Below are 23,234 nucleotides of genomic sequence, written 5' to 3'. Positions count from 1 at the left end.
GAAGCTGGAATTACCTTGATAAAGACATTACAAAGCATTGTAAGATAAGAAAACTACGTATCAATATTTTTCATGAACTTAAATGTAAAAATCCTAAACAAAAATTTAACAAGTCAATCTAACAACAAATGAAAACGATAACACACCATGACCTAGTGAGGTTTATCTCAGGAGTGCAAGAGTGGTTTAACATTTTAAACACAATTAATGTAATTCACCATAACAAACAAAAAAAGAAACATCGTGATCATCTTTGTAGATGCAGAAAAAGCCTCTGACAAATCCAACCACCATTCCTGTTAAAACATTTTAGCAAACTAGGAATATAAAGGGCTCTCCTCAACCTGATAAATGGCATCAACAAAAAAGACCCCTAGAACTAACATCAAACTTAATGATGAAAGACTGAATCCTTTCTCCAAACATGAAGGAAAAGACAAGGATGCTTGCTGCAACCATTTCTATACAACATTGTATTGAAGAATCTAGCCAGTATAATAGGGCAAGGGGAAAAAATAAAAGGCATCAAGATTGAAAAGGAAGAAAAATTTTTCTTTTGCAGGCAATATAATTGTCTATATTTAAAAGTCAGTGTGATCTATAAAAAACTACTAGAACCAGTAAGTTAGGGTAGCAAATTTTAGAATATAAAATCAATATACAAAATTTAATTGTATTTCTATAAATTAGCAATGAACAATTGGAAATGGAAAAAACTTTAAAAATGACATCATTTACAATTGCGCAAAAAAAACGAAATAAGTAGGGATAAATCTGACAAAATATCTGCCTTGAAAATGATGCAACTTTGCTGAGAAATTAGAGGGGAAAAAATGAAGAGACTTTGTTCCTGGGTCAGAGGATTTAGTATTGTTAAGACATCAATTTTCCCCAAATCTCTCTGTTGAATCAATATGATCTCAATCAAAATCCCAGATGCATTTTTTATCTCTTTTCTTTTTTTCAGAAAATGAAAGCTGATTCTAAAACTCATTCAGAAATTCAAGTGACTTAGAGTATCCAAAGAAAATGTAGAAAAGAAGAACAAAGTTGAACACTACTACTTCGTTTTGAAATGTAGGATATTACCAGTGGGGGTAAGAAGAAGAACAAAGCCTGAATAGTAAGCTTTCTCAAAGTTTCTTCAAATAAAAGGGTGTAAAACACCTGTTGTGTTGGGATATAGTAAAAGATAAAATAGACTGGTGTGGCCTCACGTCAACTGGCAAAGTATCAAACCGACTAAACCAACTATTTACCGGCTATAATCAAAGTCTATTGGGCAGTGAAGGGTCTTGAATATTAGAAACAAGCTGCTTTCAAACTTGATAAATAAAATTTTTTTCACTTCCATATAATTTTTATCTTACCTACTTCTAAAAAAACTTGAAGTAGCTAACAATGAACTAGGAAAACTGCCTAAGATTCATGACCTTACTTTTACATATGTACTTTATACTCTTGCATACTTCCTCAATTCTGCTTTGATTAGAGGGGAGATTACTGAGTGACTTCCATTTGACAATACTAAATAATAGGGAACAAACTCAAGTCTTACATACATTTTCCACTGTCTAGACTTCTTATTTTAGATCCATCTAATGCATGAAGGACAATGGGACATTTTCCAAATCTAGGAGGAGCAACATGTAGCTGTCGTCATAGTCCTTCTTATGTTAGGAAACTTCCTATCATTGTTCCAAGAAGGCAAACACTTGAGAACCACAGTGCAGGAAATTAATGGTTTCACAGAGTAAAAGGCCGTTTGCCATGCAGACCACAGTATCATCAAATGTCTTATGATGATGGCATCTCCTACTCAGCATCTTTGCTTCTTGAGGAAAGTTTGATTCTTTCTAGAGAAGAGACTGGTGACTGGGGATTTAAATTTTCTCTTGGAGTGAAGATTTTCTCCATATTTATGAAAAATAATAGTAGCAATAAATGATACTTAACGTAAGGCCTTAGGGCAATATTTCAGGTGTACCAATGCTTTTCATAGGAGTCAGAAAAATCTTATATATGTGAATCTTATAAGTTGAGGAGTGGGAGGAAATTTAATAGTATCTGAGCTTTAAGTATACTTCTTTAGGATAATAAAGAGGACTTTTCATTTAAAATTTTAAAATAATAATATAGAAGACAAACAAGCAGCTTACACTTTCTTCTTCATGGCCAGGATAAGTATCTTTATCTGTTACAGAGTTTGAATTTTGGAAAATTAAGGGTTGATTGCATTTGAATCCTGTACTCATTTGTATGCTGCCTATAATATCCTTTCAAAATATAAATGTTTTCTTTCTGCCCCCAACTGACTATTGTTCAAACTCCATAGTATGTTTCACCAGAACCTTCATGATGTGGTAAACACTGTTTACCTCTAGCTTCATTTCTTTATCACACACACATATACACACAACATGTTGTATTTTTCTCTAATTTACTCATGAGGTCTCTATCTCTAGAGTGGCTATGAACTCCAGCCCTGTGCTGATGGGGCTCCAGGGGATTTGACCATGCATGTTTAGAACGTGCCTTTCACAGGGTACTTCTTTATCCTGGCTCATTGCCTCATGACTAAGTGTCCCATCTGTGACCGGGTGTCCCTCAAACAGGAAACTCATTTATTCTGGAAGATGCCCTTGTGCTCTTGTCTAACTCGTGTCCAGTTTATTCCTGCCAAGATAGCCATGCTCTAGAGAGCTCTGACCAGGAAAGAAGTTAGGTTCAGGTGTGTTTCTCAAGTGAGATACAGAGGAAGCAACTCAACAACACACAATCTACCAGAAGCGGTGTATTCCTTACAGATCCCAGAGAGCACAGAGCAGCATGACTCACAGGGCCAATGGAAAGAAGGCAGCTATCCAGGACATCCATGCACGATCAGCAAATGGGGAGCAAGACACAGAGACACCTGTGGGCCAAAGCCTTTACTGGAGTCCAGGGCCTTCCCCAGTTAGGTTTCCCATGACGAGTTCTAAGTGGTGGGTTTACAGCAAGCAGATATGAGCTCTGTGGGGTTGTGCCGTGACTGAGAGGTGGTCACTGCACAGTCCATGTGGGGTGTGGGGGTCAGTGGGGTGAGTCAAGCAGGTTGTATCTAGCTGACCCATGGGGAGGGGGTCACCAGGAGGTGGTCATTTAAGGCAAATATCTGGAATAACCACTTTGAGGAGTTGAGAAGACAGAGAACTAGAAACCATGTCAAGGGTGATGAAGCCCTATTTTGGGTATGAAAAAGTCCAACTTTTATTCCAAATGGATGCTGAGACAACATAAAATTATAAGAATTCACTACACTAGGCTACACTCCTTTCTACCAACTTTATCACACCCTCCCTGATTACATATCACCCTCATACCCTATAAGGCAGCTACACGGACACTATTTCAGTTCCACATATGGCCTAGGCTCTCAACAGACCCTTGGCCTTCACCCATGTTGTTTCACCTGCTTAAAATACTATGTTACATGTAATTTTTGTTTGGTTAATTTCCACTGGTCCTCAGCTAGGTGGACATTTTCTTTGAAAACTTCTTAACTGACTTTGCCAATGAGGACTAAGGCTCCTCATATATTCCCCTCTCTTCCCCTACCATAACACTTGTCATTTTTGCAGACTGCATTTTCTACAGATGTCCACAGCTCTATCTCCTATCCCACGTGCTCCTACCTTGCCTCTCCTTCATTATTAGCTGCAAGCAGCAGACGTTAAAGGACTCAAATTCTCCTTCCCTGGAGTCTATTCAGCCTTAATAACCAATACAATGTGACAGAAGTGATGGCCAATGATCTTCGAGGCAGGGCCCGAAAAAGCCATGCATCTTTTGCCGGTTTCTATTGAGATGCTTGCTCTAGGGGAAGCCAGTTGCCACCTAAGAGACACAGTTACCCTAAGGCTATCCTGTTGGAGAGGTCACATGATGTAGGTATTCCTGGCAACAACTCAACAGGGCTCCCAGATAACAGCCAGCAAGAACTCAGCCAAGTGAACAGAGACACCACCAGGTAATTTCAGCCCCTGGCCATTGAGTCTTGCTAGCTGAGCCTCAGACATTAGGGAATGCTGTGCCCTGTTCAAATTCCTGAACTTCAGAGCCATGAGCATCATACAAAGGTTGGTGTAAGCTGCTAACTTGGGGGATAATTTGTTACACGGCACTAGTAGCTGAAATATTATTAGACAAGTGGATGTTTACTCATCAAGGCCATAAGATTCCAGACCAGACTATAAATGCATGAGTGTAGGTGTTCTATGTGATTCGTTTACCATTACAACCTCAGCTTTTAGCCCAGTGTCTGTTACAGCAGGGATTACAATTATAGGGATTTAGCGAACAATCTTAGCCAAATGATAATCTTAACTAAATAACAGATTAATAACAACTTAAATAATAATAATCTTAACTAATTGAATAGATTAATAAATGGATGAATGTGTTCTTAGTCTAGTTTTGTGTTTATCTACCTCTTTCTTGCAGCTCAAATTTGGTGACCTAGCTACAAATTGTTGGCGTACACAGGAATTGTTTTTCCTGTCTGCCAAGTTCCCCATCTTTAATTTCTACTGTGTTCCTTGCCCCAGCATTTAGAATATGAAGTAGCCAAGAGAAAGGCCTTGGACCATGTGGATCTCAGAAAGCTCATCTGGTAGGGCCCCTGGAGTGAGCAGAAGGGGACCAGGGTTGGGTGAGGCGTGGTTGGAGGCAGCACCCCTCTGAAGCCTGTGAACTTGAGAATGGTCTTTATGAGAATGCAGAATCATCCATTAGTAAAGTGCTGCCTCTCTCTTTCCACATACCTTCCTAGGGCACAGGAATTGAAGAGACTGAAGAGAGATGACAATTAGACCAAATCAGCGTATCACCAGCTCCCTGCTCAAGGAGTGTTAACTGGTTGGGCAGGGGGCTATTCAGGTGGTGTGTTGCGTGAGATAGTATCCCTGCCTCAAAAAATCTGTGCCATCTTCCCCTTCTACCTCAAACCCTTTTCCTGCCTTTACATATAAGTGTGTGCATGCACACAAGGCCATGAAGAGGACTAGGGTCTTCCTCACACCTGATTCTATGCAAGATGGATGTAGCCTTCCATGCTGGTGTACTTTTCCCAGTATAGACACAGAATAAGAAGAATAGGGATAAGAATAAGAATAAGAGCAGAAGAGCAAGGAGAAGGAGGAGAAGATGGGAGAGGGAAAGGAAGAAGAGGAAAAGTTATCTTTTATTTGATGTTTGCTAAATGGCATGAATTATAATAAAAGCTTTTTGGCATAATCCCATTTAATCTAATAACAACAACAACTCATAATTTCCAATTTGTAGATGAGGAGACTAATGCTCAAAGAGTTTAAGCAACTTGCTCAAAATCTCACATAGTTGGTAATTGTTGGAGCCAAAATTTTTAGCCAGGTTTGGCTATCTCTAAATTCCTTTCTCTTTCCATTCAATGAATCTACAGGGGGTTCTAGTATCACCTGGAAGTATCCAAACAGCCCACAAGGAGCAGTGCTCAAACTGGATCATGATGTGGGAGTCACTTTGATTCTGACGCTGTACAGAATTGAATTCCTTGTTATAACACCTGTTTGAATTTTGCTTCTCCACACACTGCTCCTTGGATGCCTAAGCACAGCCAAGAAGAACTCCTAACTTACCTAAAGTCCAATGTCCTGGCGATGCCTTGAGGATCAAGAATTCAGGGTATCAGAGTCCAACACAGTGCATTGCACCAAAGAGGAGCTGTTGAGTAATTCAGTTGATGGCTGTCAGCCATACATTGCTTCATGCACAAGAATGCATGTGTTACTGGCAAAAGAAAAGTGACTTCCTAAGATCCATTCTAGTTCAACCACGTTAGTTGTCCTGATCATAGCAGCCACTGTGAATTCAGTTGGTTTTGTTAACTCCCCATGATGCAGTATGTACACAAACTCTGTTTGCTAAGGCAATGCAGAGTCAGTAGTTTATTCAATGTTTACAGAAAGTGATAAGAAAATCAAGGACTAGAATCAAGTGTCTAGGCTCCGGATCAAGTTACTCCAAGGTTGCAAGGAATTTTCAGAGGCATTTCATAGCTTCTTAAGAATGCTTTCTTGAAATAAAGCCTGGGGCCGGGCACAGTGGCTCACACCTGTAAATCCTAGCACTTTTGGAGGCCGAGGCGGGTGGATCATCTGAGGTCAGGAGTTTGAGACCAGTCTGGCCAACATGGCAAAACCCGATCTCTATTAAAAATGCAAAAATTTAGCTGGGCATGATGGCGCGTGCCTGTAATCCCAGCTATTTGGGAGGCTGAGGTAGAAGAATGGCTTGAACCCAGGAGGCAGAGATTGCAGTGAGCTGAGATGAGCTGAGATTATGCCACTGGACTCCAGCCTGGGTGACAGAGCAAGACTCCGTCTCAAAAAAAAAAAAAAAGAAAAGAAAAGAAAAGAAAAAGAAAGCAAGCTTGGGTTGCTGAGATTATGGCCAGCATTCTATAACTGAGTCTGGGATTGTAAAGTAAAGAAGCACCAGCACCTCCTTTGAATTGTTTTGTTTTATTTTTCCAATTCAGCAAACATTTCCTGGTCATCTGCCCTTTTAGAGCTTTGCCACTTAGCCCTATAGAGGACACTAAGCAATAGGAAACATAATCACTGCCTTCAGAATATTACAATCTGTTGACAAAAATAAGTCTTCAACTAACATGCCCCAGAGGGTGAGAAGAGCCTGGCCCTAAAGATACTCACAAAATGTGAGAGAAGTAAGCAGCCCAGAGAAGTCTATTCCAACAGGCAGTTATGTATTTCATTTTGATCATGTGTTTATTCTTGTGGTTTGATTCAGTATGACCTTTGGAGCCTCACTTTGGACTAGACATCGAGCTACAGAGTGGAAATAATTGATCTTACATTTTTTGTTTAACTAGTTCACTATACCTAGTAATTATGGAAAAGTTGCATATTTCAACAGATTCCTTTGTCATTTACTACTCTTTGGTGGGTCAGAACATAATAGTTCACAACATATACATGCTGATTTTTAGATCTCAAAGTCAGAATATAGGGTTGAATATGTAATTATAATAGATAACATATATAAATTATGATAACATATATGTTACTATGCCAATAAGTTGTACTTAGGCCCTTATATACTTCATGTGGCTACTTTCTCTTACATTGGGGAAAAAATATAAAACCTCTCTCTTAAAATCCTACTATTTAGAATAGATGTAAGAAGTCAAATTGTACCCTCCACCTGCTCAGCTGAGTGGCAGAGCTCTATCTTTAGAATGAAAAATCCAGACTGCTGAGTGGTGATAATTTAAATTCTCCAAAAGAGAAAAGTGGGAAGTTAGAACAAGTATGAAAGAAATGAATGAAAGAAAACAAAACATTAGCTCCCAAAGAAAAGATACAGGAAGTTAGGGAATTGAGAAAGAAAGAAAAGATAGACCAAACACTGTTTGAAACAGAACAAAAAAATTCTGAACAGAAGCCTGACTTACTATAATCCATTATATCTTTGCTGATACACCCAAAATAGGATTCAATTTAGTTCCCAGTAAATGACACCAAACACCAAAAACAGCTAGTGACTCACAACTTAGAAAATCAGTTGAAAGCGCTTTCCAAATAGATCTGAGTTTATACTTAGTATTAATAGAACTGTTTCCTTTTCCTCTAATAATAGGTCAGAATATACAATAGCATTCTCCAAGATCTAAAAAAAAAATTTTTTTAAATATCACATTTCTATTTTAACATGAAATTCTCTTCTTTTGATTTTTTTTCTAGTTAAGTGCAGAGAGCATTACAAAAGCACTCAAAAAGCTATTGAATCTTGATGTTTGAGAAAGAGGAATGAGTTATAATTGTGGCATGATAGTAGAATGAATTACAGAATGAGTCACAGCAGTAAAAATAGTATTACAGATGGTGCTTTAATACCTTAGTACTTTTCCAGTCTTCAAGAATTCACTGTCAACATCCCCAATTGTGGTCCACTGTAGTGGTGGTCACATTTTAAATAGCCCCTTCTTTATTGAGTCAGTGTTTTATTGCAGTACCAGTGCCTTTCTCACTTGACTTTCAGCTTGTAGTCATTCACCACATAAAAATACCAGAAGGAATAAGATGATTGGATGAAGAATGCAGAATAATAACCATGTAAGATGTAATGTGCCATAAATGCGGTGTACACATATTACATATTATGGCAAAACCTTAGTAATTGCCTGTCTGGTTTAATTTTCAGCTGAGTAAAGGGAAAAAATTCTGAGGCTGTGCTATCTTTTCCTCTATTATTATTATTACAAATATCTGTATTGGTCAGGGAACCACATAAATCCATCACTACAGTTTTTACAGTTTGCAGAGTTTCTGGACTTGGAAGCTAACCTAAGGTAAAACACCCAAGCTCAGCTTTCCAAAGTTTTCTTACGTTTTTCATCAGAAACGAATTTCAAGTTAACCTTTAGATCCTAAGAAACAAGAGTTTCCCATGAAACTGTGGGCTAGCTAAACCCCAAGTAGGGAGGGGCGTGACCAGGGCGAGGATATGGTGTTCTCATTCCCTGTTGGCAGATGTGTTAGACACGAATGGCCTTCTTGAATCTGGGAGTCTTGCTGGGGCACCCAAACCCGGAAGAGAAAGAGGCTTCATGATTTGGGGGGAGGAGAGACTGGGGATGGTAAATGCCCAGGCAAAATTCTGGTGTGTGCCAATTCCAGCCTCTCATTTTTCTCCCCATACCTCTCTTATCTTCCAACTTAAAGTCTGAGAAGAGCTTGACTTGAGAGCAGCTCAACTTTCTCAAGGACACAACTCAGCCCATGAAAGAGCTGTTGTTCAGATAGATAAATATTCCACAGTCTCTGATGCTCCATATTGAAATTCATCTCCTCCTGAGATTCTGCACTCTGGGCTTCTAAAATCAGTTCCATTCCAAACTCCTCTGTTACTTCATTGCCTTTATCTCAACGGTTCTAGAAACATTTGGGGCCCCACTTTGACTTGAACATCTGTGCTGTACTCTAATCTGCTCCGTGGCCCTTGCCCGGCATTTGTTCCCCCTGGTCCTTTCTTGCACAATGACATCCCTTTGTGTTGATGACCTAAGATCTCTGTTCCAAGGGCTTCACTGACACACACATTTTATTCGGTAAACACTTTTTTATGCCTGCTGCTCAAGATTCTACTCTTGGAGCTCGGCACATACTCCCGCCTTCAATGAGAAATCCACAGTCTAGTGAGAGGGAGTGAAAAATAAAGCACAGGAGAATAGAGGCTTTGGAAGGAGGTGACACAGGGTGCTATGGGGGTGTGTAGAATCCAGGCCAGGCTAGGGGTGAGGGAGAGGAGGGCATTGGGAGGCTTCATGCAGGAGGAGACACCTGAGCTGAGTCTTTTTTTTTTTTTTTCTGAGACCGAGTCTTGCTCTGTCACCCAGGCTAGAGTGCATTGGTACGATCTTGGCTCACTGCAACCTTCGCCTCCCAGGTTCAAGCCATTCTCCTGCCTCAGCCTCCCAAGTAGCTGGGACTACAGGCATGCGCCACTATGCCTGGCTAATTTTTTGTATTTTTAGTAAAGATGGGGCTTTACTAGGTTGGCCAGGCTGGTCTTGAACTCCTGACCTCGTGATCTGCCCACCTCGGCCTCCCAAAGTGCTGGGATTACAGGCGTGAGCCAGCCATCGCGCCCGGCCCTGAGCTGAGTCTTGATGCACATGCAGTAAGAGGTAGCCAGGCAATGACCTAAAAGGGGAAATGGGCAGGAGGGTGAAAAGGATACTGGAACAGATAGAAAGAGAATAGCAGCGTGCATAAAAAGATGCTGATTAAATACTAGAAATTTTAAGTGCATAAAAGTGAATAAGGAGACAAGAGAGGAAGGTTTTTAAAAGAGTTGGCTATGAGCCCTTTCCTTTTCAATGGGTCCAAATAGCTCGTCTTAATCGGATTAGGTTTGCGTAACACAATACCATAGACTGGGTGGCTTAAATAACAGAAATTGATTTTTTGCAGATCTGGAGGCTGGGAAGTCTAAGATCAAGGTGCCAGCAGATTCAGTGCCTGGTAAGGGCTTGCTTCTTGGTTGGCAGATGACTGTCTTTTTGCTGCATCTTTACATGGAGGAGAGAGCAAAGGCTCTGCTCTTTTCTTCTTTCCCTAAGGGTACTATTCCCATCATGGCGGCACCATCCTCATGACCTCATCCAAACCTAATCACCTCCCAAAGGTCCCATCTCCAAATATTATCACATTGGAGATTAGGGCATAAACATATAAATTTTGGGAGGACACAAAAATTCAGTCTGTAATGCAGTTTTTACTAACAGAGAAATAAATGCATGGTGCAGAACTGACGAATTTCTCACCTGGATGCCATGGACTGGATCACAATAAACCACAAAACTGCTCTTTCTTTATTTCATCAAACCTGTGATCAGTTAGCAGGGCTCTAGTCATGGCTGATCGCACTGTGTAATTAGAGACCTAAGATGGGCTATGGTTCGAATGTGTGCTCCCAAAAGTTCATGTGTTAGAAACTTAACTGCCAATGTAACAGTAGGAAGAGGTGGAGCCTTGCAGGGGTGATTGGGCTGTGAGGGCAGAGCCCTACAAATGGCTTCATGCCATTATCACGGGAACGCGTTAGTTCTCATCAGAGTGTGTTGTTCTAAAGGCAAGCTCAGCTCATTCTTGCGGTCGCTTGTGCTCACGTCTGCCTGCTGCTTTTCTACCACGTACAGCAGCATGAAATCCATTTCCAAAAGCTGTGGACATGCCCTTGGACTTCCCAGTCTCCAAACCATGAGCCAAATAAACATCTTTTAAAAATAAAATAAAATAAATTACCCGGTCTGTGGCATTCAGTTATAGCAATAGAAAACAAACTAAGACAAAGATAGTCTTTTATTATTGAGGCATGCAAAGAGAGGCCTCTCCAGAAATCCACTGCCTTGCCCAGCTCAGGGCTACAGAAGACTGACACAGCTCTTCCTGGCATGGGTGTTAACAGTCCCAGCTAGACTTGAAAGAATTGTTCCATATCCCCCCTGCTGTCAGGTGATTCATGAGCTGCTATTCCTCCATCTCTCTGGCCACCTGATGTCATGGGACCCCCAGCCGAGAAACCTATGATCTAATGCTAATTGAAGACAGGAAACCAACCTCACACTGCCTCCTTTACCTCAGAAGAAAACTCTTTTTCTCCTGATACCTTAAAACGCATATCTGACTTTCAGGTAAATGTCAAGGTTCACCAGGTTGTCAAGTAAACCACAAAATGTAAAGATTACTATGAGGGCTGAAAATTTTAATTGAGTCTGTATGAAAGGAAATGTGCCAGAAATATAGATCTCATTGGTTACATAACCATCAGTGTAGTTTATAAACAAAATCTCAAGTTCCCTTAAAATAGTATGGTTATTAGGAAGGAAGCAGCTGATGATGTTTATTTTTCTCCCATCAAGAACCGGGTCTTAAGCTGTAGAAAACTGTCAGCATACAAGTATTTGCCATCTTTCAGCACAATCCATGTTGGTGGGAAGAAGGCTGATTAGAAAAAGAAAAAGACACAGTGTACAAGAAAGAATATATGTACCAAAAAACAAGGTCAATAATGAAGCAATGTGGCTAACCATAACTTGGCTTCTAGGATTGAGATTCTGGACCGTTGAGTAATTGTGTTCCCTTTGCTCTAAGTCCCATCTGTCTTGTTTTGAACCCCTTTCCTGGTGGTTTGTGTGGTGAGCTAACCACTCAACCAGCACTGGGCATCACTGAAGTCTAAACACACAAACACCCTCAGGGATTCGTTTCTAAGCCCTAGAGGGAGAGGAGCGCTGGTATTTCACAGGTCCAGCTCTGGAATTCAGTACTGTCTCTAAACAGGAAGAAGAGATGTTTACAACTGCTGTCTGGCTCAGGGGCCAGCCTGTTTCTCTGAGATGTGTTTGGCAAAACCGGAATTCTAAATTTGATGCAGAAAACAATCACTTGATATTTAAAACAAGGACTAAATGTTTTCCTATTCATTCCATATTCAGCCTTAGTTACTTAGAGGGGTTACTGACAGTGTTGTTTCAAACTCTGCATGGCATTGTGTTAAAAAAGAATGTATTCATTTGTTAGTTAATCGGTCCAGTAAATCTCATTGAATTCTTAGTATCTTCTGAGAGGTGCAAAGAGCTCTTAGACCCAGTTTTACCCTACAAAGAACCTGCAGCCAGCCTGGGGACTCATCATAGGACAGGAAGCTTGTTCATGGTGTTGCTGTTAGCACTGTATCTCCCACATCTAACATGGTGTCTTTAGTACCTTCTAAGTGTTCAACAAATATTTGTCAAATAAACAAATGAAATTAACACCCAGGACGACAGTAAAGCCTTTCCAGGCTGAGAAGTGATACTCCAAGCTAGGTGACTGGGGGAGGCTTCATAAAGGAGGCAGGATTTTAGCAATGCTTTCAGGAGGGAGTAGGACTGGATGCAGCTAGGGAAGTGTGGAAGGGAAAGGGGTTACTTCTTCAGGTAAGGGGGTTCAGATGAGTCCAGCCAGGAGATTGGGAGACCCAGGGCATTTTCGAGAGAGAGAGTGGCTAGAGTGCAAGAGGCCAACTGTGGGGCAAAGCCTGAGAAAGGTGGACTAGGGTAGACTGGGCAGGAGAATGCATACTGGAGGGAGGCATCTGAAATCACTTCCGACGCCACTTCACCACGTAGTTAGGAAAAGAGAATTATGAGTAAACAGAGAGGTGTGGCCAGGGAGAACTACAGAGAGAGCCGGACTGAGCACAGGGACCCGGGTGGGCCCCATTCCCACGGGCTTGGTACTGTGATGCTCCGCATTTCCTGCCTTGATTTTAACCTTTAGAAAAAGGGAAAATTGTTCAAAAACCTGACTTCCTATGTAGTATTCCAAGTGAGTCATAGGACTGTTATGTTTACAGCTAATTTTGATATAAAGATATGACTAGGAAGGGGGATAGGTCTCAGAGCCCCAGGAGGCTGCTCTTGCTGAAAATGGTCTGAGGCGGGAGACCCAGCACCCCATCTCCCCTCTCCTTGCAGTCATGCCATGGGAAGGAAGACTGCAAGGGGCCTGGTACGCACCAGCCTTCGCACTGTGGGGCCTCACAGCACAAAGGGTGTGTATGTATGATGTGTACTGTGTGTGTGTGTATGTGGTGTACGGGTGTGTGTGTGGTCTGTTTGTGTGTAAGAGGGAGTGTGTATGTGTATGTATGATGTATGTCAGTGTGTGTATGTACATGTGGTGTTGGGGAGTATATGTAGCAGGCATGAAGCGGGTGTGTGTGTGTACGTGGTGTGGGTGTGTATGGTGTGTTTGTGTGTGTGGAGTGTGTATGCGCATGTGTGATGTGAGCGTGTATGTGTGGTGTTGGGGAGTGTATGTATGGGGTGTGAGGGGTGTGTGTGTATGTGGTGTTTGTGTCGAGGGAGTATGTGTATGTGTGATGTGTGTATGTGTGGTTTTCGGGAGTGTATGTATGGGGTGTGAGGGCTGTGTGTGTGTGGTGTGGGTGTGTGTAGTGCGTGTGTGTGTGGAGTGTGTATGCACATGTGTGATGTGAGTGTGTGCACATGTGGTGTTGGGGGTGTATATGGGGGTGTGGGGGAGTGTGTGTGATGTGTATATGTGAGAGCATGTGTATGTGTGTTTAGGGGTTTCTGAGCACTGAGAGAGTTTGAGGAAGAGAAGAAGTGATGTGGGGCCTGGACTACACCAGCGTTCTCCCAAGCAGGCCCTGTGTATGTGGAGAGCTGATCTTTCCTTGGTGTCTTTGTGGATTTTCAGCTAAACTCAATAATCTCAAAGATAGTAAAAAACAAAAACAAAAAAACACACCAAAAAACCAAGTTAGTCAGGAGAGCTACAAAAAACAAAAACCCTCATGAGATTAGATTTCTCAATAAAATAGTTACAAGAAATTGTTCACACTCCAGGAGAAGGAATTTTTTCTACAGCTAGCTTTCGTATCAATGTTGCAACCTTCTTTTTCATCTAAGTTGGAACTATCAGCCCCCACCCCACGCCTCCCCAGGCTGTGTGTCCCTGCACCTTAGCCTGCATGGAGTTCTTTTGCATCTGAGCAGGCTGTGACCTCCTGGATGGTGGGAACTGATTCATTTCCATAGAGCATTTCTTGGCACAGAGCAGGTGCTCAGTTTTGGATCTGAATGGGATCCAGGAGGGACTTTGAAGTGCAGTCTCCTTGTGGGGGTTCTCCCTACCATGAGCTGCAGAAGAGAGACTTGTTTATTATCTCACAGATAACTGGATTCAAATGCATGTGTGCATGCGCACACACACACACACACTCCCCACACACCCATTACAAAAACTAGCATTACTTTTGGAGATCATGTGATCTGTTTCAGTGTCAAGAAATAGGCACATTTTCTTAATACAGCATAATCTATTCCATGCTAATACAGTGTAATTCTCTTCTACAGAATTCATGCTTTACACATTAATGTACTGAAAGGTGTCAGTGTCACTTGCCCCACATTCCTCCTCACCCCACAATTCTGCTCACCCTCCAGTGGACTCCAGGCTGTCCTCTGGACCCAAAACCCATGGTTAGGACACTCAGGATCAGTCAGGACCATGGAACCATAGATAGCAACACGAAGCCCTACAGAAGCTTTTGAAGGCTGCTTTTCTGTCTGCTGGGTACATCACTTTCCAGAGGGGCATTTCAGATTCTTTCTTCCCATTAGAGAAAAAGGGGATACAAGAATTTGTAACCTTTTTGTGCAAGAATTACACATACCCTCTACCTTGTTAGGGTCTGTGGTGGGGAGGCAATGAGGGGAGTGGGGTGAAGGGAATTGGTTACAGAAACAAACTTCCAATTATAAAAACAGGATAGCACAAACATGTCACAGAAGTTTTGAGTAAGGAGAAGGTAGGTCACTGAAATGCTTAGGGAAGGATTCTCCAAGTGCTAAGATGGGGGTCCAAATGATTGAGCAGGATTTGGGTAGATGGAGAGCCTGGGGACAGGGAAGGAGAGGGAGGGCATTCCTAGCATTCCTGAGTGGAGGGTCAGCAAAGGCCAGAGCTAGGAATGGACACAGTTTATGTGGGGTCAGGGCTCCCACATGACCACTCTCTGTCCAGAGGGGAGAAGTTAGTGCATGAGAGCCTTGTAAACACTGTGCGTGCACATGTGTTTGAATAGAAATCATTGTTTGCCCACCCTGCCTCTGAAATACCTTTGCCTCCCTTTCCTTAATCTGAAAAATATAGCATTGAGTATGAGTAATGACGACAATATCTCACATGTATGAAAGCGCAATTTAAAAGAGGCTTTCATATCTTTGCCTAATTTGTGACATTATATCGCTGACTCATTTGAAGCGCTGCAACATATACCCACTTCTTGAGGTGTGAGGAATGCTTATCAGTTTAGTGTTGCATTTGTAAAATGCCATTTATTTAAAAGTATTGCTAAAATATTCCTTGTGTGCTCTAAGGAACTAGTAAGATTCTACATTTAGTACTTATTTGCTTTCAGAAGTGTGCTTCCTCCAGAAAGCCTGAGGAGGAGAAGCAAGAACATCTATCTTTTTATTAATTTATTTATTTAGAGATGAAATCTTGCTCTGTCACCCAGGCTGGAGTGCAATGGCGCGATCTCGGCTCACTGCAACCTCCGCCTCCCAGGCTCAAGTGATTCTCCTGCCTCAGCCTCCCAAGCAGCTGGGACTACAGGTGCCCACCAAGATGTCCAGCTGTTTTTTGTATTTTTAGTAGAGATGGGGTTTCACTAGGTTGGCCAGGCTGGTCTCGAACTCCTGACCTCATGATCCACCCACCTCTGCCTCCCAAAGTGCTGGGACTACAGGAATGAGCCACTGTGCCCAGCCAAGAACATCTGTCTTTCAGAAGCACAGGGACTGAGCAGGGTGAGTGAGCTGTTGCCATTCCAAATCTCCTATTTCAACACCAAGGGTGGAAAGGAGCTGGGAATGTGGGGTGCAGGAATGCAACCCCAGGTCCCCAACTTCCCAACCTGTCCAAATAAGGGAAAAGCACCATTCAGCAAAACCAATCTAACAATCTCCAGCTAGAAGGGGCTGAACCAATATTTTTCCATCTGTTTGTTGAAAGCTCCATGCTGTGGGGTATCATGAGTGCGTCTTCCTTCTCCGAAGTTGTCCCCACTGGGCTGTGATATAAAGCAAGCCTGTGGCCCCGGTGTGTGGAACAAGGTATTCTTGAAGACTGTTTAGATTTGCTGGGAATTTCCTGCTGCCCTGGAGACTCAGGAAACCAGGGCTATGCCCAGGTCACTGCCCATGACTGGTGAAGGAATGTGACTCGACCCTGAGGTTTAAACTTCACAGTTGAAGAGAGGATTCTGAGTTTTAACTTTCCAGGTGAGGAGTCACTAAAAAAGTACTGTATTTTTTCAAGTAACCACCCTTTTTTGAATGCTTACTATAAGCCAGGTTCTGTGCTTAGTTGAGAGTTTTCCACCATCTAATCCTCAATAAGATACATGTTATTACTCCATTTCATACGTGAGAAACCTGAAAACCAGAGACGTTGAGCAGCTTACCCAAGATCTTACAGCTAATAAACTACAGCACTGTGACTTTCACATAGGTTTCTCTAACTCTCCTTAACTGTTCTTGTACGTAAATCCATAATTTCATTCAATGAATTGTTACTAAGTTCCTATCAAGTGCCTGGGGCTGGAAACATACCTGTGAATAAACAGACAAAGCTATGGCTTTCGTGGACGTTATATGCTGGTGGATAGAAGCAGAAAATTCACAAATATATAGCATGTTACGTGGTGGTAAGTGTCATAGGGAAAAATAAGCCATGGAACTAGATGGCAAGAACTGGAGAGCAGGCAGTACTATTTACAAGGAAATGATGCATTTGTGATGACAGGACATAAAAATGCTTCCCAACATGTCAAGAACAATTTCTAAACTCCTGCAGCCTGTCATAGCCAGCTGTGATGGCAATATGATGGCTCCCCAGCCAGCATGAGAGGAGTCCTTGCCAAATAGGTGTGTTTCAGCTTGTTGGAAATGCAGTCAGAAGGGAAATGTCACAGCACAGATGGACTGAATGATTGGGGATAATGATTTGATCCTGTGAGCTGACTTCCCCTTACCTTGATTGGAAATGAATTCCCTCCCCCTCTTTCTTCACAAGGAGGTTTTGAACACTGACCCCCACCCCCACCAATCTGGAAACCATTCGGAGACTCCCTGGAGGAAAGGGCTATGGACCTCTGTGATTGCTGATATTGTTTTCACTAAATATGACATGATTGGGAATTACCAGGGAAAACCACTACCAATAAAAGGATGGGTTTCAAAAGATGTGACGAATGAGCATTTCTAAAGATTTGCCACAAAATCTAGTTGATCAACTATCAATGTTTCTAAGCCATATAAATAAGCAGTTTTGTAAAGTAGTATGATTCGAAACTTTGAGATGGTCCTATGCTTTAGAAAACAAGTGACTTAATAATGAAACAATGTGTTTTGAGAGCATTACTTTCTCCAGAAGTAGCAAGGTTTGTTAACACCCACACAGATGACACACATAGATGACAGGGAGTTCTTGCATCCAAACAGATCTACCTAGCTGCCTGAGACACTTGGGATGTCAGACTGTAAACAGTGTATCAAAATCTTAATGAAAACATTCAGTAAAACCAAATATCCTTTGTCTGCAGTAGGGGGAGGCTTTGAAAATGAACCTCAACTGAAAATAATTTTATACACACCCACAAAATTCCGTCATGTTTTACACTGCTGACTCCCTTCTAACTCCTTCCAGCCTTTCCAAGTGTTTTTTTGGTAGTAAATACAATTTAAATATATAATTAACTTAGTAAGTAATTAATGTAATGATTATTTCAAATCTTATATTCTCATTTCATGTCACCTGGGTAAAACTAAAACTTGATTTTACAGAAACCAGTTTTTCAGAATTGATAATATCAATGGTCTTGTTTCTATTATAAATTTGTACACATAAGACTTCACAATCTTTCCCTGCTTCAAAGAGAGAAGTTAAGGTGAGTTCTTCAAATATATTAGCATTGTAATTATAATATAGAGGAAGACACAGCTTTTGAGGCCATTTAAATTTTGCTCTGTATGTCTTAATTACTTAATGAAATTCTGGGAACAAAATGGTGCAATAAAACCCAAAGTGGTGGTAGTGATTTAATTTACTATCATTTTATAAACTCTCCTAAATCTGTACAATCTAATTTGAAAGCTACTAGCCACATGTACCTGTGAAGCATTTGAAGTGCGGCTGCTATGAATTGAAACTTGCTGTAAGTGTAAAATGCACACCAGATTTCAAACACTTACTATAAAAAAATCAAAAACACCTTACTAATTTTCATATGAATTACATTTTGGAATAATATGTTGAACATATTGGGTTAAATAAAATCTATTGTTAAAGTTAATTTTACCTTTTTTATATTTTTAGTATAGCTACTAGAAAATTTAAAAGTACATATGTGGCTGGCATTATATTTCTATTGGACAAGGCTGCTCTAAAGCTTAAGAAAGCACAAAATGTTTTTGACGTAAAGCATTATTTTGTCTGATACAAGCATGGCTACCCTCCAGCTCTCTTTTGGTTTCCATTTGCATTAAATATCTTTTTTATCTTTTTCTATCCCTTCACTTTCAGTCTATGTCTGTCCTTAAAGGTCAAGTTAGTTTATTGTAGGCAGCATACAATTCAGTCTTATTTCTTTGCCCATTAACCACTCTCCTATCATTTGATAGGAGAATTTAATCCATTTACATTCAAGATAATTACTGATAGGCAAGGACTTACTACTGTCATTTTGTCGATTATTTCTGGTTGTTAATGTAATAATCTTTTGTTCTTTTCTTCCTGTCTTGCTGTCTTCCTTTGTGATTAGATTATTTTTCTCTAGTAGTATTTTTGATTTCTTACATTTTATCTTTTGTGTATCTACTATAGGTTTTTGCTTTGTGGTCACCATGAGGCTCACATATAACATCTTTTAGTTTTAATAGGCTATTTTAAGCTGATAACAACTTCATTTTGATTTCAAACAATAGCACCACACTTTTGCTCCACCCTTCTCCATTTAATGTTTTTGATGTGACAATTTACGTCTTTTTATATTGCATATTACTTAAATTATTGTAACCATTATTTTTAATAGTTTTGTCTTTTAACTTCATACAAAAGATATGTGATTTACATACCAGCACTACAGTATTAGAGTATTCTGAATTTTACTGTATTTTTTTTACCAGTGACTTTTATACATTAAAATGTTTTTCTGTCACTAGTGTTCTTTTCTTTCAGTTTGAAGAGCTCCTTTTAGCGTTTCTTATAAGATAGTTCTTGTGGTGACAAACTCCCTCAGTTTTTGTTTGTCTGGGAAAGTTTTTATATCTCTGTCATTTCTGAAGGCTAGCTGTGCAGGGTACAGTATTCTTGATTGGCAGCTTTTTTTTTCCTTCAGCACTTGGAATATATTATGCCACCCTCTTCTGACCTATAAGATTTCTAGTAAGAAATTTGCTGCTAGCCTTACTGAAATGCCCTATGTGATTTTTTTTTTTTCTCTTGCTGCTTTCAGGATCCTGTCTTTGATTTTTGACAATTTTATTATGTTTTGCTGTAGTCTTGTTTAGGTAGAATTGAATTAGAGAACTTTTGACCTTCCCATACTTGGATATTTACCTTTTTCTCCAGGTTTGGAAAGTTTTCTGCTATAAACTTTGCTTTAAATAAACTTTCTACCCCTTTGTCTTTTCTCCTTCTTGAACTCCTAAAACTTAAATATTTGCTCTTTTGATGCTGTCCCAAAAATCTCATAAGCTTTCTTCATTCCTTTTCATTGCATTTTATCCTCTGTGTATTTTAAAGTAATCTGTCTTTGATTTTGCTTGATCAATTCTGAGTCTTTCTTCTGCTTGATCAATTCTGCTGTTGACTTTTTTTTTTGCATTTTTAATTTCATTCTTTTTTCAACTAAAGAATCTATGTTTGATATTTTTTAAATGATTTTAATCTCTTATGTTGGTCATTTATTGTTCTCCTGATTTTTGTTCTGTTTTCTTGAAGTCTGTTAAACTTCCTTAAGACCATTATTTGGAATTCTTTGTCACCCATTTCATACATCTCCATTTCTTTAAGGTTGGTTACTGGTGCTTTACTTAGTTCTTTAGGTGGTGACATTTCCCTGATTGTTTTTGATCCTTGTGGTTGTACATTGGTGTCTGTGCATTTGGAGAAGTAGGTTATCTCCTACTTATTCTTTGCAGACTGGCTTTGTCTGGGAAATCCCTTCACCAGTCAGTCCCCTCAGAGATTCTAGGAATGCCATCTGTCATGGTCCACAGGTAGGCTTGCTTTTGGAATCCTTGGGCAAGCTGGCCTGGTACCTGGATCAGCAGGTAGGTGGGCCTAATGCCTGGGTCCAGGTTAGGTCTGGAGCCTGTAGCCAATGTAATATACCTGTTGACTGAGTCTGAGAGGATGTACTTGTAGCCTGGATCTGCAAGGGTGGGCCTGCAGCCTGTATCTGTGGGGTCCTGACTTGAAGCCTGGGTCCCCTGTGGCTGACCTGGCACTGGGGTAGACCTTGAGCCTGAGTATGGAGGGGCCATCCAAGTGCTGGGATGAGCCTGGTGCCTGAGACCACTAGAACCTGAGTCCACAGGGTCTGGCCTAGTGCTGGGGCAAGACTGGAGCCTCAGTCCATGTGAACAAACCTGGATCCTGGGCCTATGGGAGCTGTTTTGGAGCCTGGATCTGTAGTGTATCCTGGAACCTGGGTTTGCTGGAGCAGACCCAGGGGACCAGCTTGGAGCCTGGAGCTGGCTGGCCATGTGCTGGGGCAGGTATAGAGCCTGGAATTGCAGTTATTGGCCTGTGCCTGGAGCCACAGGATCTGGTCTGGAGTCTGAGGTTGTGGGAACCAGCCAGCACTGAGGTTTACTGAATGAGTCTGGACCCTGTGTCTGATGGAGTATGGAGCTGCATAGGCCAGCCTAGAGGGTGGAGTTTCAGAGACCAGCCTGACACTGGGCAAGCCTGGAACCTGTGTCCATGGGTGCTGGCCTGGCACTTGGGGCCAGACGTGTCAATCTGGTGTTGAGGTGGGCTTGAAGCCTGGAGCTGTGTGGACCAACGTGGCTCTGAGCTAACCTGGAACCTCAAGCTGGCCTGGTGTTGAGTGGGCCTGAAACCTGGGACTATGGGACTGGCGAGTCCTGGTTCTAGGGAAGGCCTGGAGACTCAGTCTATGAGGGCTGGCCTGGCTCTGGGGCAGACCCAAACCTTGGGGCCACTGGGGCCACTGACACTGGGACCAATCTAGAGCCTGCGACTGTTAGAGTAAGCCTGGTGGTAGAGCAGGGCCAAGGATCAAGTTCACCGAACAGCCTGGAGCTTGAGGCTGCAGGATCTTGCTGGTATTGAGGCAGGAATGGAGACTCCATCCTCAGGTACCAGCTTAAAGTCTGGGGCTGTCGGACCTGCCCAGTACTGGGTTTTACTGGTGTAGGCCTGGTGTTGGGGTTCAAGACAAAGTCCAGTGCTCACTCCCCTCTCCTTTCTTCAAGCAGAGGGTATTTCTCTCTATGCTGTGTTGCCTGGTGTTGGGGGATGGATGATGCAGGTAATGTAAAACTGTCCTTCCTACTCTCTTCAACGAGTCTTTTCTTATTTCTGTGCTACACACAGAATAGGTGCTGTTATCTGTCACCTGGTTTTCTTAGCTTTTGTGAAGGTATTTTTGTGCGTGGATAGTTATTCAGATTGAAGTTTCTATTTGGGGACAAGTATTGCAAAGTCTTATTCCACCATCTTGCTAACATCTCAACAAAGAAAGTGTTTAATTCAGTTGGCCCCAAGGAATTTTAAAGGAATTTGTATGTTATATTTACAGAAGACTCATCTAAGGAGGCATCAAGATTATATTAGTAAGTACATGCCTTATATACCCAACTCTGCTTCAAACAAGAACAATGACAGGAAAATACGAATAAGTAAAATGATATAAGCAGGTTTAAAGCAAGACAAAAATTTCTATGAACCACACCAGGCACCTGGACCGGAAAACAAGGCAGTCAGTAGTGTATACACAAATCTCTGGGCCTACTTCTGGGGCAGGAAGCAAGCAAAGACATCTGGGAATTTGGCTCATCTGAAGTAATGGTAATTAAAATTACTCTACATAAAATGGCAACAGGAATCAAGCCAGAGATTGGGATAGAAATCCCCCTAATTTAAACAAGGAAACAGAAAAGTCTTGGGAAGTTTCTGCTAATTGTTTCCTGGGAATATTGCCTCCTTGGTAGGAAATAAAACAGCCTCATTTCCAGGATCTGAAACTGACTGCTGGTTCTATGACCAAATTGGCCATAAGCCTTAGTCTTTGATATCATAATCTTTGAGGTCATAATCCTTAAATTATATGAAGTTCAAATCTGCAACATAAGACATGTTTTGGTTAAGGAGCCCCAGGAAGCTAGGTGGAGGCTATCACAAAACTAGAGAGGAAAGAGTAGGAGAGAAGAAAAACAAAAACCAAAAAGGCTTAACTGTTTCTTAAAATGAGCCTAGAAACCATAGTACCAAGATAAAGAAATGCTATGCAAAGCCAATATAAATCACCAAGAAGAAGCCGCCTTTGACTAAAGTACAAGAATAGTCTGACAAAGGCTTTTAAATAGGCACATTTAAGGTAATAAAAGAGAAGTTAAATAATATCCACTGAAAATAAGATATAAAATTGGCAAACAAAAATAAGAATAAATTAAGCAAAACAGGTAGATCTAAAAAATGTAAAAAATTTAAACACAAAAAAACAAATTTATTGGAAAAAATCTTGGTAGAGAGATTGTATAGAAAGTACAAGGGCACTACAAGATACTACTGAGGATTTCACTGGAACGCATCACAGAGACAAAGAGAAAAAAATAACAAAATAAAGGACTTGGAGGATAAACGAAAGATCTGACTTACACACGGCTAACAGAATTTCCAAAAAGGTAGAAAGGCAATATTTGAAGAGGTATTTGCTGATGCTTTTCCAGAGGTGAAGACGAGTCTTCAGAGCAAAGTCCAAGCACCCAGAGGTATAGATGGTAATTGTACAAGATAATATATGTAGTGAAACTAGAAATCATTGAAAACAAATAGAGAGGGAAACCCTTCAAAGCTACTAGA

At 41.1% G+C, this 23,234-nt stretch overlaps 2 long non-coding RNA genes across 6 annotated transcripts in view; both read right to left on the bottom strand.

Annotated features, from left to right (window-relative positions):
* The window catches only part of LOC105374928 (uncharacterized), a 106,762-nt gene that overhangs the window by 83,278 nt on the left and 250 nt on the right, over window positions 1-23,234 (bottom strand). The window lies entirely within an intron of this gene.
* On the bottom strand, window positions 11,287-23,228 carry LOC105374929 (uncharacterized). The gene is made up of 3 exons (XR_926485.3): window positions 23,031-23,228; window positions 14,076-14,254; window positions 11,287-11,546 (listed from the first exon to the last, which is right to left on the bottom strand). It is a non-coding gene; the product is annotated as an uncharacterized LOC105374929 (long non-coding RNA).

This window comes from Homo sapiens, chromosome 6 (assembly GCF_000001405.40).
Source record: "Homo sapiens chromosome 6, GRCh38.p14 Primary Assembly".
NCBI lineage: Eukaryota > Metazoa > Chordata > Mammalia > Primates > Hominidae > Homo > Homo sapiens.
The sequence above is the reverse complement of the archived record's forward strand: the minus strand, read 5'-3'. Positions and strand labels throughout refer to the sequence as shown.